Here is a 23,407-nt window from a genome sequence, read left to right on the forward strand (position 1 = left end):
ACATTCAGATTGTCACCCAAATATAAGGATGTTAGCAGAAAGACTCATTCAATACAAGTGGACTCAGACATAGATAGGAATTGAGTTGCAAAAAGCCCCTTTTGTTTCTTTTATTTTGGAAAAAACTTTTATTGTGAAATTCACATATATATATATATGGAAAAAACTGAATCAATGCAAAAGGATAGACAATGAACAAATGAATTCCCCTTCCACTCCAGATCCCCAACTCAGATCCAGACCTCCTGAGCCCACTTTCCCCATCTCATCACAGATCCAGACCTCCTGAGCCCACTTTCCCCATCTCATCACAGATCCAGACCTCCTGAGCCCACTTTCCCCATCTCATCACAGATCCAGACCTCCCCCACTTTCCCCATCTCATCACAGATCCAGACCTCCTGAGCCCACTTCCCCATCTCATCACCAGTGATTTCTTGGGCTCTGCATTAGTTTTCTATTGCTGCTGCAACAAACAGCTACAGACTCAGTGGCTTCCATTTCTGTCTTATAGTTCTGGTTGCCAAAAGTCCTAAGAGGATCTCACTGGGCTAAAGTCAAGGTGCTGGTGGGGCTATGTCCCTTCTGGAGGCTCAAGGGATGAATCAGGTCCCTGCGTTTTCTAGCTTCTAGGGGCTCCAGCTTCTGGGTTTGTGGCCTCCTTCCTCCATCCTCAAAGCCTGCAACAGCAGGTGAAGTCCTCGCCCATCGTGCATCACTCTCCCTTCTGCCTCCTTCAACTTTTTTTTTTATATTTAGGGGGAACGAGTATAGGATTCTTACATAGTCAAAAAGCTCCTTATAGAGAAGCTCAGAACTTTCAATACAGCTTTGCCTTTTTTGCCATTTAAATTTTCCATTTAATTTAAATGTATTCTCTCATTTGACCTTCATACTCTGTGGAGAAATATTCCTATTTTGGCTTGTATTGACAAGTTGTTTTCACACAGCCCCCACATCACCCAACCAACCAGCAGAGATCCTCCTTCCCAAGAAACAGATAAAGAAACTGAGGCCCAGGAAGGCTAAGAGTCCTGCCAGGATTATTCACCTTTCAAGGTAAGGAGCCAGTTCCAGACCTGGGTTTGTGCAGCTCCAAGCTCCCCCGTCTTTCTACAATGCTAGATTTAGACTAAAGCAATCTAGCAAGTGTGGCCACACAATGGTCAAGTTGGATTTAGATGATGTTCTCTATAAATCCATTCTCCTCTCCCGTGTAAGCAAGGCAAAGTACTCCAGGCCATGGGGAGTCCCTGAAGACTCGATGAACTGCAGTGGCCACATCAGGAGGTTGCAGGTTAACCAGAACTCACCGACACAGCAGGAGAGCAGCTTGGAACCTGCAACCTAGCCAAAACCTAGTGCCTTGGATTGGGGGAGAAAACATGCAGCCATTCCTCTCTCTCTGCTGGCTAGAGGGGATTCTGGCTTTTCCTGCCAGAGCCACCCCTTTCCCTCCTCCTAAAGTTGATGGTGGTTCTTTAAGGAAAGGGAGAAGTGCACGGTGTGATAGGGCAGGAAGAGAAGAAAACGGAGGAGAGGAGGGGACTTTCCCATAAGCAGGCAGAAGAAAAGGCAGCTGTGGTGTGTGATGGACATGGATGCAGTGGTGTCCAATGTGGGGTCAGCCCTAGAGGAGAGACAGAGAGAGAGACAGAAAAGTGAGAGAGTCCTGACCCTTATTATTAACATGGGATCTGCCTGCAAATGCTGTTTAGGGTCATCGCCTCTTCCTGTACTGCTATTTTTGAGAGTGATGCTCCTGAGCCCCACGACCCAGTCAAATTTGATGTCCCTTTGAGCCAGATTCAGTGCTGGGAGTCCAGTGTGATCTGCCTGGATCTTGCTGCATTGAGAACAGGCCAGATCTTGACCCCAATACAGGGGCTGGATATGAACAGGCAACAGCTGGGTTTCTGAGTCAGAAAGACTTGGTTAATTGCTAATTGCTTAGGCAAGTAATTTAATTTTTGTTGCGTCAGATTCCTCAGCTACAAAATGCACATGACAGTACTTATTCCTCCAGGTTGTGGGGAAAATGGAGATTCTAAGCACGATGTCCATTTCACAGAAAGATACCAATTTGGTGGCTTATTTCCTTTCTACCTTCAGAAGTGGCTATCCCTGCCACCCAAACAGACCCTTGACTCTCAAGTGGACGGGGTCCCATTTGCACAGGGGGAGACCTTACAGCCTACGTTGAGTCTATACTTACCACTTAGTGAGCATGGTATCCACTCAGGGGCCTCTGTGGGCATCTGTCTCCTCTGCAGCATCTTTCCTCCCCACTGCTGGGTCTGCACATGACCCCCTCCTTGGGTTAGGCCTCTGATCAGTGATGACCTTGGTATGGTGGTAATGGTCAGTCTTGGCATCAAATGAGCCAGTTTATATCATCAGCTATTCAATAAAATACTAATCTAGGTGTCACCTTGAAAGTATTTTGTGACATTGTTATGTACATATTGTTACAAATGTGCATGATGCATTTACTACAGCATAGAATTTTGCCTGGGTGCCACCCTGAAGTCTGTCCGACAGATCATAGCCATGTTAGTCCCACAGTCGTAGGGGCCAATTGATTAAATTATTTTATCTCCCTTGAGAACTAAAACTAAAATCCTAAGGCCCCCACCCATCTTAACAGACCCCCTGTTGGCCAATGGAACCTCAAATAAAACTTAAAATTCAGTTCTTGGCCATGACAGGACAGGAAGTCAGACATACCTCCCTGTACCTCCCTCCCTCTTATGGTTTAGACCCAACAACTGAACAGCATTAATGTTAAAATAGAGATCATGAGACTGACAGAACAGACTCTTTGTGGCAATAAGACCTCAAATTATAAACAGGACCTAGGGCCATGCCAGGCGAGGGTTAAGTCTTGTACCCTACTCTTAAAGAATTAACTAGATTCTAACTACCACATGGGTTTTATTTTTCTCTAGCAGCCAAGCAAGCACTGGCTGTGAGAGATGGCTGTGAGAGAAGATTAAAACAATTACAACTCACCCAGTTCACAGATGCTGAGTAACTGATCTCCTGCCCCACTAACCTTAACGACAGCTTTCTCTGGACAAGGGACTGATTTCAGTAACTTTCTCCTGATAAGAGACCATCCTCCATGGACTGGTTCTGGCCAGTTTTAGAGGCTGTGCCTTTACGAGGCTGAGTACCTTCATGTCCCTGCTTCACTTTTTGATGTGTAGGGCCTAATTATAATACATTTAAATGTCAAGTCTCCACCCCAGAATGAACATGCATGTTTATTGAATATGCATGTGTTAGGACCTCTTTTATGAGTATTCTCATAAAATGATATAGCTCCTCTGATATCCTATTGAGTATGTATATGTAGCCAACTCATTTGGCTCAAATTCCTGTCCTCTCCCTCCCTCCCTGGAAATGCCTGCCTCTGGCCTTGGCTGTAGGCCACACTTCCCAGCCTGTCATAATGGCCACCTTGCAGACTGCAAACCTTTATAAGAAATAAAGCTCTCTTTTCTAAATTTATAAAATTGTGTGATTTTTCAGTTGATGCTCTCTTTCTACACACACACACACACACACACACGCAATTTATACAGAAGGAAATCTGGAGAATATATGTGGGAATGGATATTGTGTGGCACCATGGTGAAAGTAACATAAAGTTGGATTAGGCTAAATTTATTAATGTTGGCCCACTAAACAGAGATTCTGGACTCAGAGTTGTAGGTCAAAGCTTTAGAAAGGGCTCCAAGGGTTGGTTTGATCGGTTACTTGGTTGGTTGCTTGCTTGGTTGGTGGTGCTTGCTTCCTTGCTTGGTTGTTTGGTTGGTTTGTTGCTTGCTTGCTTGTTGGTTGATTGGTTGGCTGTTTGTTTGGTGACTTGGTTGGTTGGCTGAAACAGAATCAGAGTTTACCTAAGGTACATAAAGTTGAGATGCCACAACTTCCTTGGTTTATGTGTACAGAAAGGTATGCAAAAACTCAGGGAGACTGGATTTATTATGTCAGACCTGCTCACTCACACTGAAGGGTCTACAGAACATACTCCTCACAACGATCATGAGAAAGAATATTGTGAGAGGAGCCCAGTATCCTGGAAGAGCTTTGAGCTTGTGCTCTCAGTAGGCAAAATGTTACAGCAGGAACTGCAGCCACTGGACTGGGATCTTTAAGTAAAATGAGGATAATTGAATCCTGGGGTGGCAGGGAACATGGGCTGTCCTTAATCACCAAAGATGAGGTGGGTGTGGTCACCACAGTGGAAAGCAGTGTCAAAGCAGCAGTCAGAATGATTTGACTCACAGACACCCATGGCATTGTGTAGTCCATGGTATCCACAGGGAGAGCTAATGGGCTGTACCAAAGTCTTAGTTGTTGTTTAAAAAATGAATAATTCTAGGTCAACTGAATAAAAGATTAACTCAAATTAATGAAACACAGATCTAAAACCCTCAATCAATTCCCAGACTTGAGCCAGTTCACAGGCCTACAACCCCTTAAGTGAAGGGGAGGCTGGGTGATCTTGGGGAAGTACGCTGCTACATTGCCAAAAATTTACATTGTTAATCTTTTCCCCAGTCTTCCCCAAAGGGACCTACAGCCTTCTGCCAGGATGACTGTGACTTAAAGAAAAGAAAATTCTCAGATATTTGGGGAATTACTGGACACTGGCTCTCATTTGACACTATTATCACTATGTTGCCTAGGATGGATTCATGCTTCTGGGTTCGAGCAGTCCTCCTACCTCAGCCTCCCAAAGTGCTGGGATTACAGACATGAGCCACTGTGGCCAGCAGAGCTTTGAAACTAGAACATGGAGGTCTAGTGGTAAATATTTGACAAGTCTGGGAAGAGATTGGGCCAAGGCAATGTTGATGATTCCTTTTTTTTTTTTTTTGCAACAGAGTCTCGCTCTGTTGTCTAGGCTGGAGTGCAATGGTGCAATCTCGGCTCACTGCAACCTCTGCCTCTGGGGTGCAAGCAATTCTCCTGCCTCAGCCTCCTGAGTAGCTGGGATTACAGGTGCCCACCGCCACACCAGGCTAATTTTTTATTTTTTTAATTTTTTTTGAGACAGAGTCTCACTCTATATCGCCCAGGCTGGAGTGCAGTGGCGCAATCTGGGCTCACTGCAAACCCCACCTCTCAGGTTCACACCATTCTCCTGCCTCAGCCTCACGAGTAGCTGGGACTACAGGTGCCTGCCACCGTGCCTGGCTAATTTTTTGTATTTTTAGTAGAGACAGGGTTTCACCGTGTTAGCCAGGATGGTCTTGATCTCCTGACCTCATGATCCACCCGCCTCAGCCTCCCACATTGCTGGGATTACAGGGATGAGCCACCATGCCCAGCCACACCAAGCTAATTTTTGTATTTTTTTTTAGTTGAGACAGGGTTTCACCATGTTGGCCAGGCTGGTCCCTGACCTTGTGATCCGCCCGCCTCGGCTTCCCAAAGTGCTGAGATGACAGGCGTGAGCCACCGTGCCTGGCCAATGTTGGTGATTCTAAACAGCAGCCGCTAATGTGAAAACCATCCAACTGGAAGACCTGGCCTTTCCCAGAGGACACAGTCTGGGTGGTGGGCAGAGACTTCAGCTGCCTTCCAAGGCAAGCAGCTCCTTGCTGCCTGCTTGCTGGGGATTTTACTTACAGGGCAGAAGCTGGCAAGTGATTTGGGGGCAGGAATTGCTTCCTGGATGGTATAGGATGAACCACACTCCCCAGGAAGACACTCATCCTGGTGGCCTAACAGAAGTAGCCCTCACCCCAAAAGGCAATGCTGCTCCACTAGTTTTATGGGGTGACTCCTTCCTGTAGGTTCCTTCCAGCTTTACCAGAAACACAGAACATCTTTCCTGACAGGGCATTGGTTTTGTTTTTGAACAGAGAGATCCTTCTTTTAAAAAGTTAGTTTTTTCTTTTTTTTTGTAATGGAATCAACCTAGGTCCTAAGCCTAGCAGGTTATTATTATTATTTTTATGATTATTTTTTGAGATGGAGTCCCACTCTGTGGCCCAGGCTGGAGGGCAGTGGCACGATCTCGGCTCACTGCAATGTCTGCCTCCTGGGTTCAAGAGATTCTCCTGCCTCAACCTACAGAAGAGCCGGGATTACAGGCGTGCACCACCATGCCCGGCTAATTTTTGTACTTTTAGTAGAGATAGGGTTTTGCCATGTTGGCCAGGCTGATCTCAAACTCCTGACCTCAGGTGATCCACCCACCTCAGCCTCCCAAACTGCTGAGAATACAGGTGTGAGCTGCCACACCCAGCCACAGGTTATTTTTGCTGATCTTCTCCCTCCTCCCACCCTCTACCCTCAAAGAAAATGTGGTACATCTACACCATGGAATACTACGCAACCCTGAAAAGGAACAAAATCATTTTTTTGTTTTTTTTGTTTGTTTGTTTTTGCAGCAACATGGATGTAGCTGGAGGCCATTATCTTTTTTAATTATTTTTATTATTTTTTATTTTTTCTATTCTACTTTAAGTTCTGGGGTATATGTGCAGAATGTGCAGGATTGTTACATAGATATACATGTGCCATAGCGGTTTGCTGCACCCATCAACCTGTCATCTACATTAGATATTTCTCATAATGCTGTCCCTTCCCCAGTCCCCCACCCCTGCAACAGGTCCCAGTGTGTGATGTTCCCCTCTCTGGGTCGATGTGTTCTCATTGTTCACTTCCCACTTATGAGTGAGAACATGCACTGTTTGGTTTTCTGTTCCTGTTTCACTTTGCTGAACATGAGGGTTTCCAGCTTCATCCATGTCCCTGCAAAGGACATGAACTCATCCTTTTTCATGGCTGCATAGTATTCCACAGTGTCTATGTGCTACATTTTGTTTATCCAGTCTATCACTGATGAGCATTTGGGTTGGTTCCACATCTTTGCTATTGTGAACAGTGTGGAGGCCATTATCTTAAGTAAATTAACAGAATGCTGCGTGTTCTCACTTATAAGTGGGAGCTAAATGTTGTGTATAGGTAGACACAGAGAAGGGAACAGATACTGGGTTCTAGTTAGGGGGAGAGAGGAAGGTAGAAGGACAAGAGTTGAAAAAACCAACTGTGGGGTATTATGCTCACTATCTGGGTGATGGGATCACTCATACCCCAGACCTCAGCATCACACATCATCCGCATGTAAGAAACCTGTACATGTACCTCCTGAATCCAAACTGCTCCACCATTTGCACCAGCAATTCCAAGACTGGGCATCTACCCAAAGGAAAAGAAGTCATTCTACCAAAAAGACACATGCATGGTAAAGTTCCTTTTTGTTTGTTTGTTTGTTTTTTGAGATGGAGTCTCGCTCTATTGCCCATGCTGGAGTGCAGTAGCAATCTCGGCTCACTGCAACCTCTGCCTCCTGGGTTAAAGTGATTATCCTGCCTCAGCCTCCTGAGCAGCTGGGATTACAGGCATGCGCCACCATGCCTGGCTAGTTTTTGTATTTTTAGTAGAGATAGGGTTTCACCATGTTGACCAGGCTGGTCTCGAACTCCTGACCTCAGGTGATCTGCCCACCTTGGCCCTCCAGAGTGCTGGGATTATAGTGCCCGGCCCTGTAAGGTTCGTCACAGCATGACTTACAATAGGAAAGTCATGGAATCAACCCAGTTGCCCATCAGTAGGGTACCGGATAAAGCAAAAGTGGTTCTTCTACAGCATCAAATACTACACAGCCATGAAAAAGAATAAAGTCACATCCTTTGCAGCCACATGGATGTAGCTGGAGGGCATTATGCTTAATGAATTAAGAACAGAAAATCAAATACCACATGTTCTTGACTGGATAAAGCAATTGTGGCCCTTCTACACCATAGAATACTGCACAACCATGAAAAAGAATAAAATCATGTCTTTGCAGCCACATGGATGCAGCTGAAGGGAATTATGCTTAGTGAATTAACACCAGGAAAAGAAAATCGAATACCACATGTTCTCCACTAGATAAAGCAAATGTGGTCTTTCTGCATCATGGAATACTACGCAGCCATGAAAAAGAATAATATCATGTCCTTTGCAGCCACATGGATGCAGCTGAAGGACATTATGCTTAGTGAATTAATGCCAGGAACAGAAAATGAAATACTACATGTCCTCAACTGGATAAAGCAAATGTGGCCCTTCTACACCACGGAATACTACACAGTGATGAAAAAAATAAAATCATGTCTTTGCAGCCACATGGATGCAGCCGGAGGGCATTATGCTTAGTGAATCAATACGAGGAACAGAAAATCAAATACCACATGTTGTGCACTAGATAAAGCAAATGTGGTCCTTCCGCATCATGGAATACTACACAGCCATAAACAAGAATAAAATCATGCCCTTTGCAGCAACATGGATGAAGCTGAAGGGCATTATGCTTAGTGAATTAATGCCAGACACAGAAAATCAAATACCACATGTTCTCAATTAGATAAAGCAAATGTGGTCCTTCCGCATCATGGAATACTACACAGCCATGAACAAGAATAAAATCATGCCCTTTGTAGTCACGTGGATGAAGTTGAAGGGCACTATGCTTAGTGAATTAACGCCAGGAACAGAAAATCAAATACCACATGTTCTCGCTTATAGGCGGGAGCTAAACATTGCCTGCACCTGGACACAATGAAGGGGCACCACAGACCCTCAGTACTAATAGAGCAGGAAGCAGGGGCGGGGGTACAAGGGTTGAAAAACTACCCTGAGATTCTTTGAATTTCCGGCAGAAAGCAGCAACTGGAGAGAGCTTTGGGTCACGGATTTTTCTGTTGCATTTTCTTGCTTGTTTGTTTTCTCTCTCGCTCTCTTTTTTTTTTTTTTTTTTTTTGAGATGGAGTCTCGCTCTGTGACCCAGGCTGGAGTGCAGTGGTGCAATCTCGGCTCCCTGCAACTTCTGCCTCCTGGATTCAAGCAATTCTTCTACCTCAGCCTCCCAAGTAGCTGGGACTACAGGCACCCACCACCACACCTGGCTAATTTTTGTATTTTTAGCAGAGACGGGGTTTCACCATGTTGGCCAGGCTGGTCTCGAACTCCTGACCTTAGGAGATCCACCTGCCTCGGCCTCCCAAAGTGCTGGGATTACAGGCATGAGCCACTGCGCCTGGCCTCTCTTCTTACATATTTCTAGAACTCCTCTAGAATTTGGGGTTTGTTTTTCTTAATTACAAGGAATCAAGTTGAATCATTAGTGCATATATAAATATACATTTTATTTTTAGTACACATTATATACCTCAGGAATGTACAATGCTCAGTGCCTGGGTGACGGGATGATTCATACCCCAAACCTCAGCAACGTACAATATCCTCAGGTCACAAAGCTGCCCGTGGATCCCCTGAATCTATAATAATAATAATAATAATAATAATAATAATAAAAATAAATAAAAAGTGACTTTGTCATTCGCAGGGAAATGCGAATGACATTCACTCTGCCTCTCAGGCCCTTGGATTCCCAAAGTTTGTTTTCATCACGCCCAGGGGACACTCAGAATCTCGTTTTCAGAACACGGGTTGTTTTTCTTAGAAACGCTTTGCAAAACAAAATAGGAAGCAAAATCTTTCTCACTCCTTCTGCTCCATAATAGACTAAATAAAATGAGGGGGCAGGAATCCAGAGACTTTGACCGCAGTTGGCAGATTTATTGTGGTACAGACATGAAGGCAAGCAGTGTTCTCTCTGATTCTACGAACCGTACAGCCCAGGCCGGCTGCCTTCTGCTTTCTGGATGGTGCAGGCGTGAGCTCCAAGCCCAAATTTCACCGGAGCTCCAGGAATCGAGCCTGGCCCAGGCACTCACTGCACGGGGGCCAAGCGTGAAACCAGTGATCGCTCCAGCAAGGTAACAGGACAGCTTGGTGATCCTTCTTGCCGGCCACAAAATGTTATAGCCAGAATTCCACCGAATGTGGTCTTTCTGTGTATCTCCCCAGACAGCGAAGATGGACAAACATGGGGGTGGTGGGTGGGGGGTGCTGACCTCAGTGGGGTGTCCTGGAGACGCAGGAACCAGGGTTTACAGGGTGCAGATCCTACTGAAGCAAATGGAAGTGGCATCCATGGGCAGAGCTGGCTGTAGCATCCCCCATCTGCCTGTGGTGTCACCAAATGTATCCAGAGACCGCTTGTAAACCTGGAGGGTGTGCTAACGTCAGTGGGGTGTCCTGGAGAGGCAGGAACCTGGGTTTCCAAGGTGCAGATCCTACTGAAGCAAATGGACGTCGCAACCGCGGGCAGAGCTGGCTGTGGTGTCCCCCCTTCTGCCTGGGGTGTCACCAGATTTCACCGAGAGACCCCTTCTAAACCTGGGGAGTGTGCTGACCTCAGTGGGGTGTCCTGGAGAGGCAGGAACCAGGGTTTACAGGATGCAGATCCTACTGAAGCAAATGGACGTGGCATCCTTGGGCAGAGCTGGCTGTGGCTGGCCTTCCGGCCTAGACGTCTCCCCCACTGCCTGGGGTGTCACCAGATGTACCCAGAGACCTCTCATCTGAAAGCTCATGCATGGGAAGCCTCCAGGTCTCCTCGGCAGGCAGCATCACGTCTGATTCAACTGCGTTATCAGGTAATGCAGGCCTGTTCTGCCTGTGTGCGTGAGTGCGTGGGTGCCATGTGGGATTGTGTGTGTTGATGTGGGTGTGGGTGTGTGCTTGCGTGGCTGTGTGTGCCTCTTTATGTGATGATGACTGTGTCTGTGAGTCTGTAAGACGTGTGTTTCCATGTGTGTTTCTGTGTGAGCGTGCATTCCTGTGTTTTATGGAAGTGTGTTTTTGTGATGGTGTTTGTGTGTGCCCCTGCATTTATTGTATTTGTGTGTTTGTGAATATGAGTGTATGTGTGTGAATCTGTATGCCAATGTATAAATTCTTTTTTGTTTTTTTGAGACAGAGTCTTGCTCTGTCACCCATACTGGAGTACGAAACATGATGAAACCCCATCTCTACTAAAAGTACAAAAATCAGCCGGGTGTTGTGGCTCAGGCCTGTAATCCCAGCTACTCGGGAGGCTGAGGCAGGAGAATTGCTTGAACCTGGGAGGCAGAGGTTGCAGTGAGCCAAGATCATACCGTTGCATTGCAGCCTGGGAGAGCCAGCCAGCCGGCCAAGCCAGCCAGCCAGCCAAGCCAGCGAAGCCAGCCAAGACGGCCAAGCCAGCCAGCAAGCCAAGCCACCCAGCCAGCCAGACAGCCAACCCAGCCAAGCCATCCAAGCCAGGCAAGGAAGCCAGCGAGCCAAGCCAGCCAAGCCAGCGAGGCAGTCACCAAGCCGGCCACGCCAGCCTGTCACCCAAGCCGGCCAAGCCAGCCAGCCATCTAAGCCAGACAAGCCACCCAGCCAGCCAACCAGCCAAGCCAGCCAGCCAGCCAAGCCACCCAGCCAGCCAAGCCAGCCAAGCCAGCCAGCCAGCCAAGTCAGCCAGGCCACCCAGCCAGTCAGGCCGGCCAAGCCACCCAGCCAGCCAGAAAGCCAACCCAGTCAAGCCAGCCAAGCCAGCCAATCCAGCCAAGGAAGCCAGCGAGCCAAGCCAGCCAAGACAGCTAGCCAGTCACCCAGCCAGCCAAGCCAGCCAAGCCAGCCAGCCAGAAAAGCCAACCAAGCAACCCCGCCAGCGAAGCCAGCCAAGCCACCCAGCAAGCCAAGCCAGCCAAGCCAGCCAAGCCAGCCAGCCAGCCAAGCCAGCCAAGCCAGCCAGCCAGCAAAGCCAGCCAAGCCAGCCAGGCCACCCAGCCAGCCAGCCAGCCAAGGCAGCCAAGCCAGCCAGCTAGGCCAGCCAGCCAGCCGGCCAAGCCAGCCAAGCCAGCCAGCCAGCCAAGCCAGGCAAGCCAGCCAAGCCAGCCAGCCAGCCAAGCCAGCCGGCCTACCAGCCAGCCAAGTGGCCAGAGAGCCAAGGCAGCCAAGTCAGCCAGCCACCCAAGCTAGGCAAGACACCCAGCCAGCCAAGCCAGCCAAGCCACCCAGCCAGCCAACAGCCAAGCCAGCCAGCCAGCCAAGCCACCCAAGACAGCCAGCCAGCCAAGCCAGCCAAGCCACCCAGCCGTCCAAGCCAGCCAAGCCACCCAGCCAGCCAACGAGCTAAGCCAGCCAGCCAAGCCAGCCAGCCAGCCAAGCCCGCCAAGCCACCCAGCCAGCCAAGCCAGCCAGCCAGCGAAGCCAGTCAAGCCAGCCGGCCTCCCAATCCAGCCAAGCCAGCAAGCCACCCAAGCCAGCCAAGCCAGCCAGCCACCTAAGCCAGCCAAGCCAGCCAGCCAGACAAGTAAGCCAGACAGCCATCCAGCCAAGCCTGTCAAGCCAGGCAGCCAGGCAAGGCAGCCAAGCCAGCCAGCCAGCCAAGCCAGCCAAGCCACCCAGCCACCCAAGGCAGCCAAGCTGCCCAAACAGCCAAGCCAGCAAAGCCACCCAGCCAACCAAGCCAGCCAGCCACCCAGCCAGCCAGGCCAGCCAGCCAGCCAGCCAGCCAGCCAAGCCAGCCAAGCCAGCCAGGCCACCCAGCCAGCCAGACAGCCAAGCCAGCCAAGCCAGCCAGCCAGTGAAGCCAGCCAAGCCAGCCAAGCCAGCCAGCCAGCCAAGACAGCCAAGCCAGCCAAGCCAGCCAAGCCAGCCAGCCAGCCAAGCCAGCCAAGCCAGCCAAGACAGCCAGCCAGCCAAGACAGCCAGCCAGCCAAGCCAGCCAAGCCAGCCAAGACAGCCAGCCAGCCAAGCCAGCCAGCCAGCCAAGCCAGCCAAGACAGCCAGCCAGCCAAGCCAGCCAGCCGGCCAAGCCAGCCAGCCAGCCAGCCAGCCAACCCAGCCTGTCAAGCCAGCCAGCCAAGCCAGCCAAGCCAGCCAGACAGCCAAGCCAGCCAAGCCAGGCAGCCAGCCACGTGAGCCAGCCAGCCAAGCCAGCCAGCTGGCCAAGACAGCCAAGCCACTCAGCCAGCCAAGCCAGCCCAGCCAGCCCAGCCACCCAGCCAGCCAAGCCACTCAGCCAGCCAAGCCAGCCCAGCCACCCAGCCAGCCAAGCCACCCTTCCAGCCAAGCCAGCCAAGAAAGCCTGCCAGCCAAGCCAGCCAAGCCAGCCAGCAAGCCAAGCCAGCCAAGCCAGCAAGCCAGCCAAGCCAACCGGCCAGCCAGCCAGCCAAGCCAGACAAGCCAGCCAGACAGCCAAGCCAGCCAAGCCAGGCAGCCAGCCAAGTGAGCCAGCCAGCCAAGCCAGCCAAGCCAGCCAAGCCACCCAGCCGGGCAAGCCAGCCAAGCCACACAGCCAGCCAAGCCAACCACGCCAGCCAGCAAGCCAAGCCAGCCAAGCCAGCCAGCCAACCAAGCCAGCCAAGCAAGCCACCCAGCCAAGCCAGCCAACCCAGAGAGCCAGCCAATCCAGCCTAGACAGCCAAGCAAGCCAGCCAGTCATGCCAGCCAAGCCAGCCAAGTCAGCCAGCCAGCCAAGCCAGCCAAGCCAGCCAGCCAGCCAGCCAGCCAATCCAGCCAGCCACCCAAGCCAGCCAAGCCACCCAGCCAGCCAGCCAGCCAAGCCAGCCAAGCCACTCAGCCAGGCAAGCCAGCCAAGCCACCCAGACAGCCAAGCCAGCCAAGCCAGCCAAAGAAGCCAGCGAGTCAAGCCAGCCAAGCCAGCCAGTCACCCAAGCCAGCCAAGCTAGCCAGTCACCAAAGCCAGCCAAGTCACCCAGCCAGGCAAGCCAGCCAAGCCACCCAGACAGCCAAGCCAGCCAAGCCAGCCAAAGAAGCCAGCGAGTCAAGCCAGCCAAGTCAGCCAGCCACCTAAGCCAGCCAAGCCAGCCAGCCACTCAAGCCAGCCAAGCCAGCCAGCCAGCCAAGCCAGCCAAGCCAGCCAGCCACTCAAGCCAGCCAAGCCAGCCAGCCAGACAAGCCAGCCAAGCCAGCCAACCAGCCAAGCCAGCCAAGCCAGCAAGCCAGCCAAGCCAGCCAAGCCAGCCAGACAGCCAAGCCAACCAAGCCAGCCAGGCCACCCAGCCAGCCAGCCAGCGAAGCCAGCCAAACCAGCCAGCAAGCCAAGCCAGCCAAGTCACCCAGCCAGCCAGACAAGCCAGCCAAGCCACCCAGCCAGCCAGCCAGCCAAGCCAGCCAAGCCACCCAGCCAGCCAAGCCAGCCAAGCCAGCCAGCCACTGAAGCCAGCCAAGCCACCCAGCCAGCCAAGCCAGCCAAGCCAGCCAACCAGCCAAGCGAGCCAAGCCAGCCAAGCCAGCCAGCCAACCAAGCCAGCCAAGTCAGCCAAGCCAGCCAAGCCAGCTAAGCCAGCCCGCCAATGAAGCCAGCCAAGCCAGCCAAGCCACCCGGCGAGCCAAGCCAGCCAAGCCACCCGGCAAGCCAAGCCAGCCCAGCCAGCCAAGCCAGCCAGCCAGCCAAGCCAGCCAAACCAGCCAAACCAGCCAGCCAGCCAAAGGCAACCAAGCCAGCCACCAAGCCAAGCCAGCCAGCCAGCCAGCCAACCAAGCCACCCAAGCCAGCCAGCCAGCCAAGCCACCCAAGCCAGCCAGCCAGCCAGCCAAGCCACCCAAGCCAGCCAGCCAGCCAAGCCACCCAAGCCAGCCAGCCAGCCAAGCCACACAAGCCAGCCAGCCAGCCAAGCCAGCCAAGCCACCCAGCCAGCCAAGCCACCCAGCCAGCCAAGCCAGCCAAGCCACCCAGCCAGCCAAGCTAGCCAAGCCACGCAGCCAGCCAAGGCAGCCAGCCACCCAGCTAGCCAAGCCAGCCAAGCCAGCCAGCCGACCAAGCCAGCCATTTGGCTAAACCACAGAAGCCAGCCAGCCAGCCAAGCCAGCCAAGCCAGCCAAGCCACCCAGGGAGCCAACCAGCCAAGCCAGCCAGCCAGCCAAGCCAGCCAAGCCACCCAGCCAGCCAGCCAGCCAAGCCCACCAAGCCACCCAGCCAGCCAAGCCAGCCAAGCCACCCAGTCAGCCAGCCAGCCAAGCCAGCCAAGCCAGCCAGCCAGATCCAGAGGCGTCCTTGGCCTGGGGACCGGGTGGATTTGACGCTTGCACAGGGAGAGATTGCCCCATGCAGATGAGCCATGTAGGGGGCTCGGGCCCTAGGGACCCAGCCTCTGGGCCAGGGGTTGGCCTGCCCAGGCCTGCTGGTGTCTCAGCTGGTGGCCGAGAGCCATAAGGCAGGCATTGTCCTCCACAAGGTCAGCTTTGCCGCTAACTTCCTGTTCTCGTTAATAACCTGATGCAAGGAATTCTATTGCAATTGTTTATGTGTCTCTCCGAGAAGGCTGTGAGCAACACAGTATCCCGAGCTCCTGGTCTGATGCCTGACACACAGTAGGTGTTTAATAAATGATTCTTCAGTGCATAAGTGAAAGAAAACATGGGTGAAGTTAGCATGGTCAGGACCATTGCAACTGCCTTCTGACTGGTCTCCTTGCTTCTCCTTAGTCTCCAGGCAGCAGTTGGAGTGATACAGTAATGGGAATCACCACACTCTTCCTTCTCTGGCCAGGTGCAGCCCCAGATTGGTGCTTCCAGGGAGCCCTTGATGCCTTGGTGAGGGGTGTGGGCTTGGAAGCTGGGCACTTACAGCTGTGGGTTGTTGCCACTGTTGGAGTAGCGGAGGCATCGAGCCCCCTCCCGATTTTCCAGCATGACTAGTGGTGACAATATTGGGTCTCAATGGGTCTCTCCTGCCTCCAGTCCAGTGCCCTTTTTTGGGGACCATTATTGGCTTTTGGGGACCCTGAAGGAGGAATGGCCTGATTATGCAATTTGGCTGGAGTGGAACGTCCCCATGACGACATGGCAATGAGTCTTCCCCAGCAGGCAGATGCCAGATGCAGTGGTGACCACACCTGCCATCTGGGAGGATTCCAGGTGAGTCCCTGGTGTGGGGACTGGGGTGGGCTCTCCATCCTCCTATCCCTGGGACAAGTGTGTGGGGGACAGCAGGGGCCACCAGGAGCCACGCTAGATGGGCCCAGCCTCACCAGGTCTACTCTGGGACCGGCTGGGCCCCAGGGGGGCTGTGATCTTTCACGGCCATGATGTTAGGAGAGAGACAAGGACCAAGGATGGTGATTCCTTCCCAAAGGGCCACAGCCATCCAGTAAGGCCGAGCAGGGAGGAGCTGAGAAAGGCAGCCTCCCTCCTTTCTGCCTCTCTCCACCATCAGCATCAGCTCTGTTGCCCAAGGTGGTCGCCCTCTGCAGGGGCTGGGGCTTGTAAGGCAACCCCCCCCACCCCCACCTGGCGGTGCTTGCTCTCCGATTCCTGGGACCTGCCTGACCTTGACTGCAGCAGGGTTTTATGAGTGGCCTCACCACTTTACCAATTGCTGTTGCCTTTTATTACTTCTCAGGGGCTTTATCTCAGCGGCCGCCTTACCTCCTGGCTAAATGAGGATTAATTTTTTAACAGGATTATGTGCTGTGGGTTAGCTGTACTCTCTGGGGACGGCCAGGCGCTCCGCTCCCTCTTAGCCCCTCCCTCTCCCCAGGCCCCCCTTGCTGGTTTGCTGGGAGCAGGGGCTACATGTGGGGGCCCCAGGAGCTGGGGGCTGCATCATTCCAGACTCTGGGATGGGGGTGGGGTGGCGAGGGCCAGACCTGGACTCTGGGTGGTGATGTCCTTGGGCAGGGCCTGCCCTGCAGGGTGAAGTTCCTTTAGAGGTTTCAGCCACTTCTTGAAGGACACCAGACTTGGCCACTGAGCAGCTGGGAGTGGGGAGAGATGGAGCAGGAGCAGGAGCAGGAGCAGGATCAGGGGGACATGGGGAGAGAGAGGATGGGGGCCACCTTGCCAAGCCCACCTGCCCCGGTATCTCAGAGCAGCACAGCCTGAACATGGCCAGCATCAGACTTTCTTGGTCCTTCTGGAACACAATTTCAATTTTCCACCAAAGTTTGATAAAGGTGAGCCTGTTCTCACCCCTCCTGTGTCTATCGCCTGGAGGACAAAACCCAGGATCCCACCTCCAGCTCTCCATGCCACCATCTCCTTCACAAACCAGAGGGAGGCCTCCTTCTTTGCCCATCAGGAAAGCCTCTGTGTCAGTCCAGGGTGGGCCTCCAGACACCAGTCTAGGGGGCTTCTCCCTGTTGCCCCAGGCAGAGCTGAGGCCCTTGTGGCTTCTCTTGTGATTCTTCTGTTGGGCCTCCTGTCCCCTCTGGAGTTATGAATTTGTGGGTGTGCTTACCTGCCTGCTGTGGGCCCCTGAAAGGGACATATTGATACTGCATTCATATCTAGGCGCGTGGGAGGTGCCAAGCCTGTTTATGGAAGGAGTGATGAATGGATGGCTGAATGAACAAATGAAGGGATGAATGCATGAGGGAGGAAGGGAGGAGGTCATTGGCTCCCTGAAGGGGCCCAGGGCTGACTTGTTCACAGCTCCCTCTTCCCTTGGCTGAGCCCAGGGCAGGCTGGCAGCTGTAGGCCTGGGATGTTGGCCCAGCAGCCTCGTGGGCAGCTGGGTTGATGGGGTGAGGTCCTGGCCAGAGGGGAAACTGTCCCTTTTCGGGTCTGGCTTCTCCTCCAGAGTTCCTGCTCTGCAGGTATGTGCAGACCTGGCTTAGCTGATGTAATGAATGACCACAAACTGAGTGGCTTCAAGCAGCAGTCATGCATTCTGGTGGCCTGGGCATCCTTGGCTTGTGGCTGCATCCCTCCTGCTCAGCCACCATTCTCAAGAGGCCTTCTCTGTGTCTGTCCCTATGACTCCTATAAGGACACCAGCCCTTGGATGTAGGGCCTGCCTGAATAACCCAGAATGACCTCATCTCCTCATCCTTCACTTAATTCCATCTGCAAAGGCCCTCCATCCAAAAAAGGCCGTATTCACACATTCTGGGAATTAGGACAGGGTCATATCTTTTGGGGGGACCACGCTTCAACCCATAAAATACCCATATGCTTGACGACCCACCTTCCTCCTCTCTAGGAGCCTCTGTGCTCACACCTAGAAATTCCGGGTGTGAGTCTATGCCCCTCTGTGACCATCCTGTGTCCTGGTTGTTTGTTTTTGTTTCTTGAGATGGAGTCTCACTCAGTCGCCCAGGCTAGAGTGCAGTGGCATGATCTTGGCTCACTGCCAGCTCCACCTCCCGGGTTCACACCATTCTCCTGCCTCAGCCTCCTGAGCAGCTGGCACTATAGATGCCTGCCACCACACTCGGCTAATTTTTTGTATTTTTAGTAGAGATGGGGCTTCACCGTGTTAGCCGATGGTCACAATCTCCTGATCTCATGATCCACCCGCCTCGGCCTCCCAAATTGCTGGGATTACAGGCATGAGCCACCGTGCCCGGCCTGTCCTGTGTTTTTTTTACATTTATTTTTTGAGACAGGATCTCACTCTGTCACCCAGGCTGGAGTACAGTGGTGAGATCGTGGCTCACTGTGTAGCCTCGACCTCCTGGGCTCAAGCCATCCTCCCATCTCAGCCTCCTGAGTAGCTGAGACCACAGGTGTGTACCACCACGCCCAGCTAATTTTTAAAATGTATTCGTAGAGACAGGGTCTCCCTATGTTGCTCAGGCTGGTCTTGTACTCCTAGGTTCAAGGGATCCTCCTGCCTCAGCCTCTCAAAATGTTGGGATTACAGGCATGCCTGGCGTGTCCCTTGTTTATTTGTTCATGTATACCACTCCTGGGTATACGCCCAAGAGAACTGGAAGCAGGGTCTCAAAGAGATACTTGCACACAGGTGTTCATAGCAGCTTATTCACAAAAGCAAAAATGTGGCAACAGGCCAGGCGTGGTGGCTCATGCCTGTAATCCCAGCATTTTGGGAGGCTGAGGAGGGTGGATCACCTGAGGCCAGGAGTTCGAGACCAGCCTGACCAATATGGTGAAACCCTGTCTCTACTAAAAATACAAAAATTAGCTGGGCATGATGGCAGGCGCCTGTAGTCCCAGCTACTCGTGAGGCTGAGGCAGAAGAATCACTTGAACCCAGGAGGCGGAGGTTGCAGTGAGCCGAGATGGCACCACTGCACTCCAGCCTGGGCAACATAGTGAGACTGTATCACAAAAAAAAAAAAAAAAAAAAAAAGGCATTTAGTATGCCTAACCGCCTGCCAGCTCAGCCCAGCTGACCTCAGATGTGCTCAAGACACTCCCATTAGCCTCTAGGTAGGCAAAATCAGCTCACACAAAGCTTTTTTTTTTTTTTTTTTTTTTTTTTCAGGCAGACTCTCACTCTGCTGCCCAGGCTAGAGTGCAGTGGTGTGATTATAGCTCACTGCAGCTTCAAACCCCTGGGCTTAAATGATCCTCCTACCTCAGCAACCCAAGAAGCTGGGACAACAGGTATGTGCCACCACGCCTGGCTAATTTAAAAAAAGGTTTGTTATGTTTTGTAGAAATGGGGTCTCGCCATGTTGCCAAGGCTGGTCTTGAACTCCTGGGCTCAAGCCATCCTCCTGCTTTGGTCTCCTAAAATGCTGGGATTACAGGCGTGAACCACTGTCCCCAGCTCATGAAGCTAGTTTTCTAATCAGGTGTTGATTTTCTTGTGCAATTTGTCGAATACTGTACTGAAAGTGAACATGGTTGTGTGGGACTTAAGTGCCGTTGCTACTGAGTTCTGGCCACATTCTTACCATCGTGGAGTCGGGGCCCGTCGGTGGAGCCATCCTAATAAGGCAGGGCCATCTGTGTAGGAATCTGCTGTTTGCAGAGATTTTTGTTGGTGATCACCAGGCTTGGACTCTGAGAACCTTGGAGGAACCCAGTGGGTAGCACACAATGCGGAGTGGGACGTTCACTGGACCAGGGAGGTCGGGCCGTGGTTAGGAACCTGGGGGAGGAAGAGCTGAGGGGGTTGGGGATCTGAGCTTTTCTCAGTGGCTCAGCCACGACCCTGGGCTACCCCTGCCCCAGGCCTCCCTCCTGTGCCTGTGAGCTGGGGATGATCATTAGTGTCCCCTCCCCCAGCATGTAGGGCTGTGCCAGGCACAAGGAGGAGGCTTGCGGCATTCCCACTGAGGACAGACTACCCGGGAAAGCACTCGGACAGCCTCAGGGAAGATGAGGGTGGGTCCAGGAGATGCCAAGGGCAGGCCCTTGGGCAGGTTTTTCAACAGTGCCTCTGCCCCACCACCCCTGTGCCCTTGCCTGTCACCACAGGGTCTCGGAGAGGAGAGCCATGTGGCTCAGCATGGCCAGGGGCAGGCTAGACTGTCCTGCTGCAGAGGACCCACTGGGGCCCAGTGGGACAGCCCTCCCCCTCCCCCTGGGACTCCATGGCCTGTGCTGTCCTCCTGCCCAAGAAGCTTCCCTCTGAGGCATCTCGGGTCCGGGTCCGTCCTGCTCACCCAGGGCCAGGAGCCCCCAGGAGGCCCACGGTAAGAAGGAGCGCAAGACATAAACAATTTCCCCCTCCTCTGCCGAAGGCTCTGGTGTCAGCGTGCTTTGCCTGCAGTGGCCTTTCCCCGGGGCAGCGAGGGCCTGAGTGGGCGCCTCCCCCAACGCCTCCTGGGTGTCAGCCCCAGACTGCCCCACGGCTCCACCCCTGTTCAGAGCCACTCAGCCCCTGGGAAAGGTGGCTGGGTCATGAGTTGGGGATATGAGGGGGATCAGTGCCTGCTAGTTGGTGCCAGAAAACCACCTTTGCTGGACTTGGCATTGAGGGTTGGCAAGGGGGCCTCGGAGACACTCTCCTCCCTCCTACCTGTACCCCCAGGGTACCCGTGGTCACTCAGTTCCTGACTGCCTGCTTTGGGTTGGGATCCCAGGACCCACCCTCTCCTGGCTTCTGCTGAGCCATGCCCTCCGCGGTGGGGGGGTCCCCTGCCTGATGCCACGGCCTTGCGAGTGTCACTCAGAGCCCCTGCTGCACGGAGCCGTGCTGTGGGTTTCTTTTCCTGTGTGGACCTGCAGAGAAGCTGCCTTGTCACTGTCCCCTCATTGCTGGGGTATAAATCCTCATTGTCACTATCTTCTTGGCCCTCTGCCACCAGCTGTGGACTCTGGGGACACTCAGGACTCAGGCCTGGAATTTTCCCCAAGGTTTTTCCTAGGTGCATTGGTGTAAACAGGGTCCCCTCTTGCCCCAGAGGCTGAGCTCCCATGGGCAGGGGGAGAGTGGGAGCAGTTGTCTGAGGGCCAGGCTGCGGGAACAGGGTCTGGGGTTTCCTGTGGAAATGCTGAAGAGTGCCCGCCCCTGCCCTGGCTCCGGCCAGCATCTGGTCACCCTGGCGGGCAGGGAGTGGCAGCTGCAGAACGCATGAAAGTGGTGGGTGGGGTGGGAGTGGCTGGTGCTGACTTTGTCCAAAGGCCAGAGGTGCGGTGGGGCCCCTGACACCATGTGGCTAAGGGCTTCTCCATTCACCAGGACTGTTCTCACAGAGTCTTTCCAGAGAGGCTGCAAAGGGCCTCTTATCTCCAAAAACGTCTATTTTATAGGCACCTGGATGTCTACTGTGTCCTGATACAGAGGAGAGGACATGCAATGGGAGATAACGTGGCTACCTTTGGCCATGTCGGGTGGATAAGAGATGGCCAACAGGTCACTGCAGGGCCTGCTCCCCCTTACTTACCCCATCAGGGGACAGGATCTCGTGTGTGTGTGTGTGTGTGTGTGTGTGTGTGTGTGTGTGTGTGTGTGTGTGTGTCAAGGAGGGGTATCCCTCTGGTGCAGTCCTTGATGGTTTCCTCACCTTGATGTTGGTCCCATGGCCATCGGTGTTGGCCTCACCATCACCACTTTCAGTCTCTGAACAGCAACAGGCTCCACTGAGCAGGTGCCCAGTGACACCTGGTGCGTTGGAGGGTGGGGCTGAGCCCTGGTGAGCCAGGACCTGCTGAAAGATCAGGGGGAAGAGAATAGACCCCCCTCCACCAGCCCTGGGGACCCACAAAGGAACATTCAGGCCGCCCCAGTTTGAGCCATGAGTTGTGTCCACGGCAGCCTCGCTTCCTTTGCTGGGCCTTGGCAGCGATAACGCCTGAATCTGTGCAGGTCTCAGGTGAGCCTTCTCCAGCTCAGCCTCTGTCGCCTCACAGGACGCCTCGGTTCCCGGGCATTGATTCAGCACCTGCTGTGTGAAGGGAAACCAGAGAGGCCAGTCCTTGCTCCTGAGGACTCAAGGGTCTGGATGTGGGGGGAAACCCACACCCCACAATGCTCCCAGACGATGGACGCAGCGCAAGGTCTAGGCTCACTCCAGGAATGTGGGGCACAGGGCCCAGAGCCCATTTGGATGAGGAGGCGCCGTGCCCTCCGTGGGCTGGAGGGACAGGGGGCCTTTGGTGGCCGGTGAAAGCGTTTTGCCAGCTGAGAATATTCTTTTTGCTGGCCGCGTCTAATCTGGTTTCTGGGGAAGATAGGAGGAGGCTACATCAGCAGATGCCTGTCACCATGGACTAAGAGCTGGCTCAGGGAATCCAATTCCAGCTCAGAACCCGGGGCCCAAGGAGCCGCTTGAGGCTGTGGCTCTGTCTCTTTTTGGACTCGAGGGACTCTGACCATGGTTGTGGACTCTCCCTAGAAAACATGCACACATAGCAATTTGCTGACCTGTCCTGGGAGCTCAAGGGAGGCCCAAGGCAGTGGGGCTGGGGGGCAGGGAGCAGAGGGGCAGGGTCGGGGCCAGGGGAAAGAGAGAGCATGGGGGGGGCGGTCCTGTCCCCTTGAGGCTGCCATGCAGGGGCTGGCTGCATTCCAAAGCTGGAGGAACAGCTCTGCCTTGCAGGGAATTAGCACAGTCTGCCTGTCCGGCTGCTTCACCATGGGTTGCCCCCGTGCCATTGAGGATGGTGATGGGGGAGGAAGGGTGGTGATGAGGGAGGGAGGGTCTTGATGTACCACCTGCCCCCAGATGGCCAAGGTGACCCTCCCCAGCGTCCCCAAGCTTCGCAGGCATGTAGGGGAGCCTCGGAGGGCACATCTGTTTGCTGTTCCTGCTGTTACACGTGACCACAAACTTAGTGGTCTAAAACAATGCAAATGTATTTATTTTTTCCTCTTTTTTCCCCCATGTAGGACAGGTAATGTGCCACTGTTCTAAAGAGGTTGCACGTCCCACGCAAGAGTGTGAAAACCCCCTCATCACACATATCAGCCACAGAAGGATCAAAACAATGCCAATTTATTATTTTAGAGTTCTGGGGGTCAGAAGTCCCACGGGGCCGCACTGGGCTAAAGCCACGGTGTCAGCAGGGCTGGCTCCTTCTGGAGGCTGGGGGCAGATGCATCTCCTGGCCTTTCCCGGCTTCTGAAGGCCACCACGTTCTGGGCCTCAGTCCCAGGCTGGGGCATCACCACACCCACTGCTTTTGCACCAGGTCTGCTCTCACCCCCGCCTCTCGCTCACAGGGGCCCTTGTCATGCCACTGGGTTCACCTGCATGATGCCGGGGAGCCTCCCATCGCAGGACCCTCGGTCACACTGGCAATGTCCCTTTTGCCATGAAAAGTAGCCCATTCACAGTCCCGGGATTAGGATGTGGGC

General features: G+C 53.3%; 1 protein-coding gene and 1 pseudogene across 1 annotated transcript in view, besides 5 other annotated features; one reads left to right on the top strand and one right to left on the bottom strand.

The window, feature by feature from the left end:
• Positions 1-2,976, top strand: part of LOC124903442 (uncharacterized) — a 36,475-nt gene extending 33,499 nt beyond the window's left edge. Inside the window, exons 4-5 of the mRNA XM_047433398.1 lie at positions 951-1,059; positions 2,949-2,976. Coding sequence (XP_047289354.1) covers positions 951-1,029 — 79 coding nt within the window. The 3' untranslated portion in view covers positions 1,030-1,059; positions 2,949-2,976. The remainder of the gene's footprint in view (positions 1-950; positions 1,060-2,948) is intronic.
• Positions 10,961-11,484: an enhancer, noted in NCBI's record as "H3K27ac-H3K4me1 hESC enhancer chr15:20545365-20545888 (GRCh37/hg19 assembly coordinates)". NCBI's record gives its function as "activates a minimal SCP1, AML or CMV promoter by ChIP-STARR-seq in primed H9 embryonic stem cells {active_cell/tissue: H9 hESC(primed)}" and the evidence as "EXISTENCE:reporter gene assay evidence [ECO:0000049][PMID:30033119]".
• Positions 11,485-12,006: an enhancer, noted in NCBI's record as "H3K27ac-H3K4me1 hESC enhancer chr15:20545889-20546410 (GRCh37/hg19 assembly coordinates)". NCBI's record gives its function as "activates a minimal SCP1, AML or CMV promoter by ChIP-STARR-seq in naive and primed H9 embryonic stem cells {active_cell/tissue: H9 hESC(naive and primed)}" and the evidence as "EXISTENCE:reporter gene assay evidence [ECO:0000049][PMID:30033119]".
• Positions 12,007-12,530: an enhancer, noted in NCBI's record as "OCT4-H3K27ac-H3K4me1 hESC enhancer chr15:20546411-20546934 (GRCh37/hg19 assembly coordinates)". NCBI's record gives its function as "activates a minimal SCP1, AML or CMV promoter by ChIP-STARR-seq in naive H9 embryonic stem cells {active_cell/tissue: H9 hESC(naive)}" and the evidence as "EXISTENCE:reporter gene assay evidence [ECO:0000049][PMID:30033119]".
• Positions 12,531-13,052: an enhancer, noted in NCBI's record as "OCT4-H3K27ac-H3K4me1 hESC enhancer chr15:20546935-20547456 (GRCh37/hg19 assembly coordinates)". NCBI's record gives its function as "activates a minimal SCP1, AML or CMV promoter by ChIP-STARR-seq in naive H9 embryonic stem cells {active_cell/tissue: H9 hESC(naive)}" and the evidence as "EXISTENCE:reporter gene assay evidence [ECO:0000049][PMID:30033119]".
• Positions 13,053-13,576: an enhancer, noted in NCBI's record as "H3K27ac-H3K4me1 hESC enhancer chr15:20547457-20547980 (GRCh37/hg19 assembly coordinates)". NCBI's record gives its function as "activates a minimal SCP1, AML or CMV promoter by ChIP-STARR-seq in naive H9 embryonic stem cells {active_cell/tissue: H9 hESC(naive)}" and the evidence as "EXISTENCE:reporter gene assay evidence [ECO:0000049][PMID:30033119]".
• Positions 22,935-23,030, bottom strand: LOC124903613 (uncharacterized; annotated as a pseudogene).
• Between the last annotated feature and the right edge of the window lie 377 nt (positions 23,031-23,407).

Source organism: Homo sapiens, chromosome 15 (assembly GCF_000001405.40).
Source record: "Homo sapiens chromosome 15, GRCh38.p14 Primary Assembly".
NCBI classification, from domain to species: Eukaryota; Metazoa; Chordata; class Mammalia; order Primates; family Hominidae; genus Homo; species Homo sapiens.